The sequence below is a fragment of the Homo sapiens genome, chromosome 2 (genome assembly GCF_000001405.40).
Source record: "Homo sapiens chromosome 2, GRCh38.p14 Primary Assembly".
Classification (NCBI taxonomy): domain Eukaryota; kingdom Metazoa; phylum Chordata; class Mammalia; order Primates; family Hominidae; genus Homo; species Homo sapiens.
In genome coordinates, this window is record NC_000002.12 from 179,110,663 (window position 1) to 179,126,193 (window position 15,531).

General features: G+C 37.1%; 1 protein-coding gene and 1 non-coding gene across 7 annotated transcripts in view, besides 1 other annotated feature; both read right to left on the bottom strand.

Annotated features, from left to right (window-relative positions):
* The window catches only part of SESTD1 (SEC14 and spectrin domain containing 1), a 163,155-nt gene that overhangs the window by 8,985 nt on the left and 138,639 nt on the right, over positions 1–15,531 (bottom strand). For 4 of the 6 annotated variants that reach the window (NM_178123.5, XM_047446273.1, XM_011512141.3 and 1 more), the window contains 7 exons: positions 13,702–13,896; positions 13,053–13,167; positions 11,108–11,267; positions 6,870–6,951; positions 6,006–6,128; positions 4,403–4,594; positions 2,062–2,183 (listed from right to left, as the gene is read on the bottom strand). In NM_178123.5, coding sequence (NP_835224.3) covers positions 2,062–2,183; positions 4,403–4,594; positions 6,006–6,128; positions 6,870–6,951; positions 11,108–11,267; positions 13,053–13,167; positions 13,702–13,896 — 989 coding nt within the window. Of the gene's footprint in view, positions 1–2,061; positions 2,184–4,402; positions 4,595–6,005; positions 6,129–6,869; positions 6,952–11,107; positions 11,268–13,052; positions 13,168–13,701; positions 13,897–15,531 lie in introns of those variants that run through there. The other 2 variants (XM_047446274.1, XR_007084411.1) reach the window with 2 other exon arrangements.
* Positions 8,021–8,190: an enhancer, noted in NCBI's record as "experimental_56707 CRE fragment used in MPRA reporter constructs". NCBI's record gives its function as "activates a minimal promoter by MPRAs in K562 erythroleukemia cells, with activity observed for the non-introgressed 2:179983495 variant allele {active_cell/tissue: K562}" and the evidence as "EXISTENCE:reporter gene assay evidence [ECO:0000049][PMID:34662402]".
* LOC124906166 (small nucleolar RNA U13) lies at positions 14,874–14,975 on the bottom strand. The gene has a single exon (XR_007088754.1). It is a non-coding gene; the product is annotated as a small nucleolar RNA U13 (small nucleolar RNA).

Sequence of the window (15,531 nt, forward strand, 5' to 3'; positions counted from 1 at the left end):
TGAATCCAGAGAGACCATCAATCTCTTTTATTTTACCAGGAGAAGGTATAAAAGAGAAATCTGTCTAACCTGTCAAACAAACTATACATGGCATAAACAGATTACCATTATATTAATAATTATGGAAAACACTACACACAACTTTGGGAAATATTTAATTCAGCAAAATACCTAAAAGAGATATACATAAGTTTTAATATGAATATAAAGTGGAATAAAACAGCAATTCCAAAATATTAAAGGTGGGTGTGAACTTTGAATATATAGTACTAACATTCTTTTATCTTAAAAGGATGGATGAGGAAATGACACATGGACTATCTGTGAAACACAGACGAGAAGCTGAAGCAAGCATACCAGGGAGAGGTGTTCCTAGGCTGACATGGGTAGAACAGGAGACTGACTGTGTGACAACTGGCTGTGAAATGTAGGAATCAGGGAGGGTAAGGGATCCTGGAATGGAACAACCAGAAGCACGCCTGTAATTCTGCTACTAGCTGAATTTTGTTGTCTTTTATTGCAGATGTGTAATACAACTTTAGGTGACTTTAGGCTACCTCTGATTGTTCAAGTTTAGGTGGGGCTTGAGATAACGTAAGTATAGACTATGAATAATATTATTTCAAGGGAATAAAATGCCATCTTTTCAATATCAATCCCAAATAATCACTGGAAGATCATGGCACAGTAGTAGCAGTGCTTATTATGTGTCAGATCTGTTTTAAGTACTTTATACTTATTTAGCTCAGGTAATTCCCACACCCCCATAACCTGAGGAAGGTATGAGTGTTACATGGCAGTTTTTAGATGAGGGAATTGAGGCACAAAGGTTAAGTGGCTTGCCCAAGGTGTTACAGTGAGTAAGTGGTAGAGCTGAGACCTCTGGCTCCAGAGTGCACAGACTCATCACACTATACCACAACGTTAAAGGTACTTGTATTTTTATTTACTGGTTTGGTTACTCTATCATTTGAATTAAATATCCTCTGGATTATCTCTAAATTATTTTCAGTAAGAATCAGGTCTAAATCACCAGGGATGAAGCTCCTCCTGATTCTTTTTTTTTTTTTTTTTTGAGACGGAGTCTTGCTCTGTCACCCAGGCTGGAGCGCAGTGGCGTGATCTCGGCTCACTGCAAGCTCCGCCTCCCAGGTTCATGCCATTTTCCTGCCTCAGCCTCCCGAGTAGCTGGGACTACAGGCACCCGCCACCACGCCCAGCTAATTTTTTGTCTTTTTAGTAGAGATGGGTTTTCACCGTGTTAGCCAGGATGGTCTCCATCTCCTGACCTTGTGATCCGCCCGCTTTGGCCTCCCAAACTGCTGGGATTACAGGCGTGAGCCACCACGCCCGGCTGAAGCTCTTCCTGATTCTTTTCCTGATCCATTTATTTTGCATCAGATTATTTCATATTTTTATCACTATTTGAAATGGAAAGGTGTAAGATAATCAGGACCCCATTCCTTCACACATAAAGAAATTAGAACGCCATATAACACAGTACAAAGGGAATGGGTTTGGAGCCACACAGACATACCTGAGATTGTAAGTTTATGCTAACTCTTAGAAGCTGTGAAATCCTGAGAGCCTTACTTAATCTCTGTGGGCCTCAGTTTCTTCATTTGTAAATCAGGAATAATCATACTGGTTTGGTCCTCTTTGGTCAAAAGTAATGAAGGTGAAATGTTTCACTTGGTACTTGGCATATATTGTGAACTCACTAAACATCAATCCCTTGTCCCCTCTTCCTTTTCCTGAATGAAGCCCCAAGTCACACTATTCCCCACCATCATAGCCAAGGCTAGAACCCAGTGTCTTAATCTAGTCAATGATCATTCTACAACAAGCTGTCAAGAAGTAACGCATCTGTTGTTGGCAAGTACCATTACTGTGGCTAAGAGGTGTGGATTTCTTTTCATTTTAAACTAATTCATCGTAGGAGTTAAAGATGTGGACCAAACCTAATTTACTTGGCTTTTTAAAGAATAGATTTCCTCTTTTAATGATTTCACTTTAAGACCACACCAATAAAAAATAAAATTATAAGAACATGCCCCATACCCATCAGGATAAACTACTGGAACAGTTAATCTATCCAAAAGTGATTTCCCAACTGCTTCAATTTCATCAAATTGCTCCTCATCATTAATAGCTTCAGGCTCTTCTGGACAGTCCTGCAAAATCTGCAACAAATAAAAGAGCAACATCAATCAAGAGACACAGACAGGTCTGCAGTTTCAGAGGATCACCCCACCCCACAAAAAAAAAGAGAGAAAAGAAAGACACAGAAATGGAATCAAGCTCATACAAATTTGGTAGATTAAAGGCATTTTCTTGTTCTTAGCATCTTCAGGTATACCACTATATAAGATTGATCTATTATTGGCAAAATTCTTCAAGAAATTCAAACAAACAAAATGAAATACATAATTCCTACTAACAATATGGTGATTTCCAAGAAAGAAAATAACTAGACTACTATTTGGAAAATAAGTTCAATCTGTCCTTAAGAAGTATTCTTTCATTTATATTAAGTAACCATTTATTGAACAGTTTATGTTTATGTAGCAGTCTGGAAGGTGAAGGAGGTATAGACTGTGTTCTCAAAGAGCATATAGACATTACAAATGAAAAATTATATAAATAAAAAACAACAAAGAGTACAAATAAATAACTGATGTGACAACTCAGCTAGATGATAATATTTAACAACTGATCTGCTGGCTTGAGTTAACTGCCATAAAATGATTAGGTTATAATTCAAATATGGTAATCTCTATAGTCCTTGATGAGATACTGTTCTTCACTCCACCCTAACCATTACCATTTAAATTAAACCACAAGAACTGCAAAATTTGAGAGAGAGAATAAAAAGTATTCATTTTTACAACTTTTTTTTGCATTACACTTTATCTAATCATGTTTACTTCAGCATTACTCATGAACGGACATTTTTGTATTTTAAAACTCAAGATTTAATTTAGATATTTTTCTAATCATTATACTATACAATTTGCTTATAGTTGTGGTTATTTATATTTATGCTTATGGTATAAAATAGAATACAGTCAAGAGGAAAGTAATATCTGATAACAAAGGGCTTTACTTAGGTTTGTACAACAAGCTCCAGGAGGTGGAGCCTGCAGTGAGCTGAGATCATGCCACTGCACTCCAGCCTGGGCAACAGAGTGAGACTCTGTCTCAAAAAAAAAAAAAAAAGTTATCAGTGGTGCTAGACATTGGGCCAATTGTCACCCTTTGACAGTGAGGTGATTGGGGGAGCAGTACTGTGATTACACAGGGTGGGGGGAGCTTCTGGGTGCTGGTAATGTTCTGTTTTTTTTGAACAGTACACTGAGTACACAGGTGTGTTCACTTTATGAAATCTCACTGCACAGAATACTTGTGGTATGTTTTCTATGTTAATAGTATACTTCATAATAATAAAAAATTCTCATTGAAACAATCAGTAGATAAACAAGTTACACTATTTTGTATACTTCCACTTATCATCATTAGGCCCATGTTAATCAAACACTGATCTACGGAGTTCAATGACCAGCTGAGAATGAGTTAACTATGGACCCTTCCCAACAGATGTACTTCATAACTCAGATAGAAACTTTAATTCCTGAGGTTCCTTGCAACATCTGTTCCATGGATCAAGTTAGGTTTGCTAATATCTCAAAGTGTATCGAACATTCCCTACATATAAACTTTTATTGTAAGAGATCAAAACAAAATTAACTACATAATAAAGTTCCTTTTCAGAATGGATATGTAAGGCTTGGGTAGAATAAATTCTTACTATGAAGAGTAAGAAAAAAGTTCTATTGAAAATGTGTCCAAATAACCCTGCATATTTTATTTTTTGTTTCTGAAATTAATGACCTTAATTCATTGAATAATAAATTCTAGAATGAATCTTTAAAGAACACATATAAAAAAGCATTTTACTTTTGTCCTTATTCTTATTTTTTTAATGTCCCGACTTTATAAAATCACAAGGTGCCTTTTAAAAAATGTGTGACAATTAATAGCAGTTGCCAAAGCAAAAAGTTTCCCTTCCAGGCATAACGAAAGAGATTGAACTCATGATACTCTAAAGAACAGAGGGCATATTCTGGACACCAGGCTTGGTGAGGAGAGAAGTGTAAAGAGAAGAAGACTACCAGGTGGTTCTGGATTTCTCCAATCATGGCTCTCCAGCACTGGTAAGGATTAAGGAAATTTAATTTGAACTCTCTAAGGCAATGTATTATATCTAAACAAACCGTAACAACGGAACTAATATAAATATTGAAAAATAGATTAGTCATATAGTTACATTACTAAAATTAACATATTTTAAACACATATAATCAATACCACTGAGAATAACATTTCAAAAACACAAGCAAACCTTTTCAGCATTTGAGTGAAATGCAATAGCCATTTCCAATCTATGTACTCTCTCTTCAGATGCTATTGTAAATTGTTTCCATACTCTGTTCAGTCGAGGAAGTGTATCCCCAGATGACCGAGAAGTGCAGCGCAAAGATTGGCATAACACAACTGTGGCCTGTAGCAACTGCCTGCCATAGTCATAAGTGCTCTAAAAAAGAAAAGGAAACATAAAATTGTAATAAAAGAATTCTTAAGAGAAGGATGGGGAAAGTGTGCAGGAAGATTGTCGTTACAGTTAAGTGACACTACTAGAAATCAATACTGAATAAATCTAGTGGCACTTATTACTACAAATCATCTGTGTGTATAAGTAATAAAGGGGAAGCTATGTTTTTGTTAGTTTATAATAAGTTTCATGGCCAGGCACAGTGATTCATGCCTGTAATCCCAGCACTTTGGGAGGCTGAGGTGGGTGGATTGCTTGAAGTTAGGAGTTCAAGACCAGCCTGGCCAACATAGCAAGATCCTATCTCTAAAAAAATGAAAAAAATTAGTTGAGTTTGGCCACACTTGCCTGTAGTCCTAGCTACCTTGGAGGCTGAGGCAGGAGGATCACTTCAGCCCAGGAGTTTGAGGATGCAGTGCGCTATGATTGTGCTGAAACATCATATCCTAATTGACAGAGCAAGGCCTTGTCTCAAAAAAACAAAAATTGTTTTAAAATTTTTAATTAGAAAAAAGTCTCCTTCTGTTAGGCTTCCCCACTTTATTCTGTTTCCCCCATCGCAGTCTGCTTAAATTTCACTGGCCAGAAAGAATGTCTGCTTATGAATTAATCAAAACTACTTTCAAAAGTAGGTGAAATTAGGCACTTTATATTCCATATAGGAAACTACATCTGTTAAAACGTGAACTCATTATTAGGGAAAATAAGATACTTTTTGGCTTGGCGCGGTGGCTCACTCCTGTAATCCCAGCACTTTGGGAGGCCGAGGCGGGTGGATCGCTTGAGGTCAGGAGTTTAAGACCAGCCTGGCCAACATGGTGAAACCCCATCTCTACTAAAAAGACAAAAACTAGCCAGGCGTGGTGGCCGGTGCCTGTAATCCCAGCTACGCAGGTGGCTGAGGCATGAGAATCGCCTGAACCTGGGAGGCAGAGGTTGCAGTGAGCTGAGATTGCATCATTGCAGTCCAGCCTGGGCAACAGAGGAAGACTGTGTCTTAAAAAAAAAAAAAAAGACACTTTTCACCACAAAAAAGTTCTGTATTATTATGCTAACACTAGTGTGATGCAGAAAGTGAGGTTTCTTATTTACTGATATTAACATCCATTTCATATTAACTTCTGTGGATGAACAGTTGGATTGCCTTAAAAATGCCGTAATACATAGCATAAATCAGAGGGACCATGCAGAACATGTATTCAGGGAAACGTAAACCCTCTCAAGTTTATGCAGGCTAGTTTTGATGCACCAGCTGACATTTTCTTAATTCTGTGACACTTCTGGAATAACAAAACTAACCTTCTTGTACTTGGAAGGTAAAGTTACATTATAATCATGCAGAAAGCTATTCAAACACTGAGCTTGTGGAAAAGGAAGATAACCAGTTTTGCACCTGTGCAACATCAACAAATTTTCTATGCTTTTCCAGCAAAACTTTCGTTTCTTGAGCATCATCGCCCAATCTGATGTGAGTCTTAAGCAGAGCATCCAGAAGTTCACTTAGCCATTCTACTGCCTAAACAAAAAGACATAACAATGAAGCTGGATTCAGAACTCTTTACTTATTGTATCAAAATGTCATTTATACAGAGATTACTATCATGTGATTAATAAATCCGTTAATTATAACCTAAAGTCTTAAAAGCTTATTTCATTCAATGATAAGCTACATGAATTAATGACCTGTCCTACTCCTCAAAATTCTTTAAATCTGAAGGCAAGACATACTGAAGAAAAGCATTCTTTTAAAATTAATATCACATAATAAAAGATCATGTATTTCTGTATGTAGATCCATCAGGATTGCATTACAGATTTGTGTTACTACATAAAATCAAAAATTTTATCTATATCTAACTGAAATGATGTTCTCTGATGATAACGACAAAATATATCAAATTGTTTATCTGGTATTGAAATTTCTCTTGCAGATGCAAGAGAGCAAAATGCAGTGTGCTCCACCAGATTTTATCCTGGATGTAACTGACAACCTAATCAACAATAATAAATAATAAACGATCCCAATCTCTAGCTCAATAGAGGATTATAGAGGATTTCATTGAGAAAATTAAGTTAAATGAGATCAATCAACTAGCTGGGAATACCAAAGTGTATTCTTCAACAAGATAGATAAACTAGAACCTGACTTCAAGAATTTACTTTTTTAGGACCATGAAAAGTACACTTTTGTTTGTAGTTAGATAAAATCAATCTTCTAAGAAAAGTTAACTACATAATGTAGCTGACTGCTCCTTACCTGGGCAGCATCTTCTTCACATTTAAACAACTGCACCATCTGAAGCATCTTTAACCTTCGCACATCTACCATGTCTTCACATCTAATGAACCCAAACATAAATTTAACTCATCATTTCTGTTTTATTGATTACTATTGTAACATCATCATTTGGTACATGTATTTTATAGTACACTAAAATACTTAGTCCTAAACAATGGAGAATGCAAGTATTTTGTATTGATTTGTAAGAATTTTAGGGATATTTATATCAATGTTACATCAAAACATCAAAATACCCAAATGATACTCAATGACAAACCCTCTTAAAGATAGCATGGATTCTGCAAAATATTAAAGCAAAATGTAAGGACAATAGTACACTAAAACCCAAAAAAAATCTCCATTGCTGTTTAGCATCAAACAAGTTTCAAGGATAAAAGTGTAATGTTTCTCAAATACAGGATGATATTTTTTTGAGACAAGGTCTCACTCAAGCACCTAGGCTGGAGTGCAGTGGTACCATCATAGCTCACTATAACCTCAAACTCCTGGGCTTAAATGATCTTCACATCCCAGCCTCCCAAGTAGCTAAGACTACAGGTGTGCATCACTATGCCCAGCTAAAGAAACATTTAAACATTAACGCTTTTCATTATATTATAGTACCTAAAATAATATTTAATTCTGATTTTTTTTAAAACCCTCCATCTACATTCTTAAAAACTAGATGGAGGGCTTAAAAAAACAAAAAAACTCTACTGACCTCTGGGTGTAGAGAAACACAATTCAAATTATTTTTTTAATCTCATTGTGGTCTTTTTGGATAATATAACCATTTAAATTTTTAAGGCAACTTAACCTAACTTAACTCTGGTCCATTTCCTTCATTTCCATGAAATTCTGCGTACTGCAGGTGGGATGGGGGACTCCCACTGCAGTCTCAAATACCGATAATATGTTACCAGACACTGTGCTCTACTATACTTGATGTCCTTAAAGAAAGCTTAATAACAATATAGAAGTAGGTATCACAAGGCTTTTTTTTAAAAAAAAATAAAGATGCTCTGAATAAAAGCTATAACATGACATTAAAATTCAACTTGGTTAAAGTAATTCTACAATGGACTGAAGGGAAGTGATAATTATTTTTTAAATATGAAACTAAAAAACAATGTAGGCCACTTTGATGAAGATGGTATCATACATATACTGTATTCAGGTATTAGATAATGTGTGCTGGGGAAAATATAAGATATGGTCTCTACTATCAAGATGCTCCCATTTGCAGAGATGTTATAAGTACTATTATAAAGCTATTTAAAATGTTTTATGAGAGTAGGGAGGAGCAAGTGACTAACTTGCCTTAGAAGTCCAAAAAGGCTTCCTAAAGTAAAGTAAGTATCCCTGAGTCTTGAAGAGTAAGTAGGAATTCACTGAGCAGAAAACAAGGAAACAAGTATTCTTAGTCATGGATGCATGAAACAGCATGATGCTTTCAGGGAGATAAAAACAACTGTGTGATTTTATGGGAATGTTATAGAAGATAAAATTATGCAAGAATTGGATTATGAAGGGTCTCCTACATTATTCCAAGAAGACAAACTCCATCTGAGCAAACAGGAAGTCACTGAAGGAAGTTTTACACAATTGTTGTACTTTATGAAAATTACACTTATATACAAAAAGCTGGAGAGTAGCCAGGCCAGAGGCAGATAAGAGTTTAAGATCTTGACCATAAATGTTTGAGATTCAGAGACAGCAGAACCTGGACATTTGATTAAGCTATAAGGGATGAGAAAGATGAAGGATTTTAGGATAAATCTCAAGTTTGGTAGCTGATGGTAACTTTAACCTAGGCAGGAAATTAAAAAAGGAGAGCAAGTTTTAGAGGAAAATGATTCCAGTCTGGACATACTAGGTGATCTGGTTTGGATCTGGGTTTTGGATTTGTGTCCCCACTTAAATCTAACATCAAAGTGTAATCCCAATATTGGAGGAGGAGCCTGGTGGGATGTGATTAGATGCCTCCCCTTCCACCACGATTCTGTTTCCTGAGGCCTCTCCAGCCCTGCAAAGCTGTGAGTCAATTAAACTTCTTTCCTTTATAAATTATCCTGTCTTAGGTATAGCAGCGTGAGAATGGACTAATAAATACAAGGGGCCTGGTGGGAGATGACTGGATCATGGGGGCACATATCCCCCTTGCTGTTTTCATGTCAGTAAGTGAGTTCTCATGAGATCTGGTTGTTTAAAAGTGTGCCGCACCTCCCCCTTCACTCTTTTCCTCTTTCTCCATCCAAGTAAGATGTGTCTGTTTCCCCTTCACCTTCCATCATGAGTGGAAGTTTCCTGAGGTTTCCCCAGCCATACTTCCTGTACAGCCTGTGGGACTGTGAGCCCATTAAGCCTCTTTTCTTTAAAAATTACCCAGTCTCGGCCGGGTGCGGTGGCTCACGCCTGTGATCCCAGCACCTTGGGAAGCCAAAGTGGGCGGATCACGAGGTCAGGAGTTTGAAACCAGCCTGGCTGACATGGTGAAACACCGTCTCTACTAAAAATACAAAAATTAGCCGGGTGCAGTGGCACCCGCCTATAGTCCCAGCTACTCGGAAGGCTGAGGCAGAAGAATCGCTTGAACCCAGGAGGTGGATGTTGCAGTGAGCCTTGATCATACCACTGCACTCCAGCCTAGTGACAGAGCGAGACTCTGTTTCAAAAAAAAAAGAAAAGAAAAGAAAAATTACCCAGTCTCAGGTAGTTTTTTATAGCAATGCAAGAATGGACTAATACACTAGATTTCAGCAGTACATGGGGCATCCCGCAGGCGACACTAAGTAGGCAATTGGAATTATGGGTCTACAGCACGGGAGAGCTGTAACTACTAAACCATGATCTATTAAAGAAAGTAATTCAAGTAGTGAGAATGTCCAGGGAGAATATATAAAGAAGGGAATCTGGCCTCAGAACAAACCCTGGAAGCAGTAACTTTAGCTAGTGGCCAAGAAATCAGTGACAAAAACCAAGAAGAAACAGAGAAGGATCATAAATGTGTTTTCAAGAAAGATGAAATCGAAAAGTCAGTTGTGCCTAACGCTAATCACAGTTAAGCAAGTCAAGACTAAAAGTATTCTCTGAACTTTAAGTAAGATACAGCATTTATTACGTTGGTAATGCTGGTAAGAGCAACACTGAATGAAATAGTTAGGGTAGAAGTCAGACTGAAAAGAGTTGAAAATAAATTGGAGGTAGTGGGGGAAGTAGTATGAATGTACCGTAAACCTATCCAAATGACTTAGCTGTGAGGAAGAGTTCTAATGCTAAAAGACAAAGAGTTGAAGAGGAAGACGTACCCATATGTGTGATTATTATTTTTAAAACAGGAGAAATTTAAGCATTTAAGTGAGGGCAGGAACCAGAGTAGAGAATGGGATTTGATGGAGTTAGGAGTCAGGAGGGTGATCAGAATCAGAGCCTAAATGGAAGCTCAGCTTTGATATTTTTTGATATAAACGGAGAGCTCTATCATCCTCTGTGGTGACAGAATAAAAGTAAGTTTGCAGATATGAGGGAAGAAATTTCTGCCTCATGACTGTTTTCTCTGTGATGCAGAAGGAAGCTTTCTGTGAAGTTTTGTTGATGATCATAAAATTTTTAAGTGTGCAAAATTTCATATAACCATGCTAGATTGTGTATATTGCATAATTTTAATCCTTTACTTTGCAATACTTTGTAGTTGCTATTGCAAACTGAGTTTTCAAAGAATCTTTTGAATTCCTAGTTTTATAGAAAATGAAACTAAACATCACTAGTCCACTGTTTAATCCTCCTACAGCAAATATGAGAACAATGAATGTGTGACATTCTGTAAGTTTAGATGAAGAAACAGATCAATGTAGATGACAAGTTTAATGGCAACTCTAAACTAAATGAAATTTAAAAAGCAAAATTATTCTTCAGTAAGTTTTTTTTAAAGCAGAAGAGTCATAGACTACACTGGGGATATGGAATTTGAAATAGTTGAGTATAATTGAAATTTTTACAACCCAATAAAAAGGAAAATGGTACCTAATAATTGAATAAATTATTACTATGTTAGTAAAATTATATACAGTAATTATCACATTCACCAAAAACCTACTACATGTCTTCTATATAACAGTTAAGAACGTTTTGTCTGTATATAAAATGTTATATAACTTCATTTTAACTAATATTGTTATTATTTTAGTAAAAAGTAATTAACGGTCAAACTTTGCCTTTGTTTTCTAAGCTGCATATCTTCCATCACTCCTTGTATGTGGTCCACATTTTCTTTATTTTCAATGGTTACATCCTTTCCATAGGCCCAGGATGCCTGATTGGAGATCTGATCCAGGAGACCTTGACCTTTTTCACGCAAACCTTGCAATCCCACATCTAAAACAAAAGTTACTAGATTTAATCTCTTACACAACTAAGGCGCTTTCCCTCCCTCAAACAAATCGTCTCATCAGATATTGTACCTGGATCCCAAGTATAGGAGCTTTGTACAGTAAACCACCTTGGGATGGAATCCCAAGACTCCATCCTATGAACATTTCAAGCAATAAAACCCTTTAAATGTAACTCGAATTGGAGCTCTCTCTCATGCCAAATTCTCCCTAAAGGGAATTTTGAAAACATGGGTTTCCATAGACAATAATTACTTTTAAAAAATGAAAGCAGAAGAAAAATATGAAAATTCCTATTTCTAATAGAAAACAATTTTCTGTTTTTTCTTCCTGCTTTTATGCTGTCCAACTTATAGGAGAACAAGGCAAACATGTTGTTTAAAAAAGCGCATAAGCCTTGCAAAATTTTAAGACACTCCAGCAATGTATCATCAATGTCAAAGGATGTTGAACATTGTGACTAAAGATACAGTCTAGCTTCTATACCATAGGAAGCAACAATTAGGGTATATTTACAATTCTCCAAATTACATGTGTAAAGGAACTTTTTTTTTTTAAACAAAGACTGTGGCTCAAGAAAACTAATATTTTAAAAGAAAATTCATTTGTCATATTAAACACTAAATATGTATTATGCATACCATCTGTTAAAATAACAGAGGCTGGCCAGGTGCGCTGGCTCATGCCTGTAATCCCAGCACTTTGGGAGGCTGAGGTGGGCAGATCACCAGAGGTCAGGAGCTCGAGACCAGCCTGGCCAACATGGCAAAACCCCATGTCTACTATAACTACCAATACAAAAATTAGCCGGGCGTGGTGGCAGGTGCCTGTAATCCCAGCTACTTAGGAAGCTGAGGCAGGAGAATCACTTGAATCGGGGAGGCAGAGGTTGCAGTGAGCCAAGATGGCACCACTGCACTCCAGCCTGGGCAACACAGCAAGACTCCATCTCAAAAAAATAAAATAACAAAGGCTGTAAGCAAGTAAAATGTCAGTACAAGTGTGATTTTTCAAACCAATTCCCTAAGGCAGTTTTCAATAATTTGGTTTAGTCATGTGCAACCACTTTTTACTAGTTCTCTGCCTTAAGTTCCTGTTTCCTCTCTTCCATTGCCATTTCCCCTTTTGTCCCCCCTTGATACGACTCCCCACCTTCCCATTGTCACATCCTGACCTTTTAGGAAAGTTCACTGTGCTTCCTGCTGTAGAAAAATTCTAAAGGCCTTGATGTCAAATGACATCAAGCCTACATCAGCTTAATGTAACTGGACCCCTTAATGTAAATGTACCCCACTCCTTGGAGAATGGGTAATCTGACAATATTCCCAGTTTGGTGAGACAAGAACCAAAAAACCAAACCAACTATTTTTTCACAAGGTTAGGATAAAGCAACAACAAAAATCATTGCATAAAACACAATTTTGGGCATACAGGATTTACCACAGAACATTTCACAGCTAATTACAGTTCATGCATGCACTACAAATAATTGTTCATAGTATATGCAAGACACAGCACCTGTAGATATAGCTGGGTAAACAGGCAAGGGTAAAGGCCCAGTGAAGGGAGGAGTGACTAACTAACGATGAAAAATAAAATTTTCAGCATAAATTATAACCCCTCAAGGGAATAAAATCTTTTTATACTATTTTTCTGTTTCCTGAAAATAATACTAATTAGTTCAGTGTAAGTTGACTTAATTGTCTAACCATGGTAATGATATTTAAAAAAAAAAAAACCTTATGTTTCAGCATTTTTAAAATCTGCTTACCAACACTTTTCAGCTTCTCTTCAAGCAGTTTTAAAGTTTGCTGAATCGATGCTCCATCAGCTGGTGCTACATCTACGCACAACATCCCTAATAAGCCATCCAACTGCTGAGACAACTAAAGCAGAGGGACACCAAAGAGATAACCCTGATGTAATCAGCATCTAAAGTGTTTAATGATTAATGAGGTTTATATCTAATGAGGTTATCACAATTACACTTGAAAAGACTACACTGTTACAAGACAAGGACGAATCATTAGAATATGCATTATCTGGAAGACAGAACACACAGATGCATGCACCAGGAAGACAAAGAAGTACATTCAGGTCAGCAGAATGCAAAAAAGTATTGAGACTTCCATTTCCATCTAAGTTATAAAGCATAAACATTGAGAAGGAGTCAAAATAAAATATTCTACTAGATTGGAACACTCTAGTTAGACAATAAAAGGTTGAATTGCATGCAGAATGACTTAAAAAATACTTGTTTTTAAAAAAAATCAAAGAATTTTATCTCATTACCCCCACCAGTAATTCATTTTATTGGTTCAGAAAAATAATTTAGGAGGCATGCAAACCTGAAAAAAATTACGTGTAGGTAAGTGTTCAGATAATTTGAAGAAAAGAAAAGAATCAGAATAGACACTTACATCTTGGGCAACACCATGAAATTCAAGAGCTGCTTGTAAGAGATTTTGCCTAAATTCCAGCTGACTGGCCTGTCGATAACAAACATCACTAAGTTGTTGCTGCAGTGACTTTAGTTCCACAAGATCTTCCTCATCGCCAGCATTCAAGAGTGCTGCAATTTGCTGATTAAGTTCCACATACACTGCAAACCATTCCTGTAATCAAGATGTTACAAAGTAAACTAAGGCTCAAATTAGTTCCTGGAAGAGATTACATTTTATAATTTCTCCAGATAAACTAAGTAATACATGATTTTTTTTTTCTAAGGCAAAATTATTAAAATTGAGGGTGGAAAGTTCCTAATCCTGTGATCCCTGGAACTCAATCCCTGACCTCTAAATGTTCTCTTCTCTTCCTTGCTCTAAGTGAAACCTGTCCGCCCTCAGTCACCCCTGCAGCCTTCTCAACTGATTACTGTTTCCATGTCTGACATACTGCAAGCCTGAAGGTGGGTTTGGGTGCCTCGTTCCTCACTACTTGCAGACCATTTATTTTCCCTCTTCTTTCAAAAAACCGTATCCCCTTTGAAGTGCATGCTGTTAGATTACATCTTTTCAGCTTTCTGTGTGGTATCACCTCATCCACAGAAGGGTTTAGCAAAGGTCACACTGCCTTCCTCTCAGCATCAGCCTTCTTAGTGACTTCCACTACATAGGCACCCACCACCATCCTGAACCTCCAGTTCCTTGACTCCCTCCCTCACCTCCAACTAACTTGTCCTCACCTCAACTCAGCTACCTCTTCCACTGGCCATAAAAACGTGTCATCATATACTACTATGTAGCTCCAAAAATCTGTTTCATGAAACCCATTTTCTGACCACCTATTGACTCTCCCATTCACCTCTGTTTGTAGGCTCACACCTACAATCCCATGGAATCCACCAATCTACTGACCTCTCTACCATCCAGCACATGAGAACCTCTGTCCTCACTTCCATCCTTGATCAAAGGCTATAACCACCTCCCAGCATATAACCCATGCCCCTGCCTGGCTTTCTTTCCTTCCATCAGAATGACCTGTTGAAACCTGAGATCTGTTTTCTCTGCCTAATGTGTGCCTGTACCAGAGTAGCCGAACATGGGTAGACTAAAAACAACTAGGTGGATAGCGCTCTCTCTCTTTTCCCTCACATCAGAAGGGTAACGTGCTGATGTTGTTACAAGGCTTAGAGGGAGACACATCTCAGATGAGTGTGAGCACCCATCATCATGCTTATAAACTACAAAAGGATTGACAGATCTCTTTTTAAAGTTATGACTAAATAATCTCAAATGAGTCTTTGGCAATCCTTTTATGTTTCTCTAGTAAATTCACTTTCTCATTCTCATGATCATTTATGTTTTTTTCACTATCAGTCTCCAATTCCCTTTTCACTTCTTCATTCTCAGCCAAAGATCTTAATTCACTGGGAAGTAATCGGAAAACTCTTTCATCTTCCCACCAACAAATCCCCAACCCTCCGTTCTTCTACAGCCCTATGCTCTGCCCTCAGAGCTGTAATAATCAGCCGCCTGTCTCTTCTTCTAAGGCCAACCACTCCACTTGTGCATTACAGCCTATCTCTGTTGCCTACACAAAGCTTTGCTCTCACAGTTATCTTCTCTGTCTCCCATCAGTTCTTCTGTCTCAACTGGATTATTTCCACCAGCATATAAATAAGCTGTAATTTATTAAACAATAAAATACACATTTAAGATTTGTGCATTTTACTACGCTGAAATTAAACCTCAGTTAAAAAAAATTTTTTTCTTAAAGGAGTTCTCTGTATTTACTCTTTTCTCATTTTT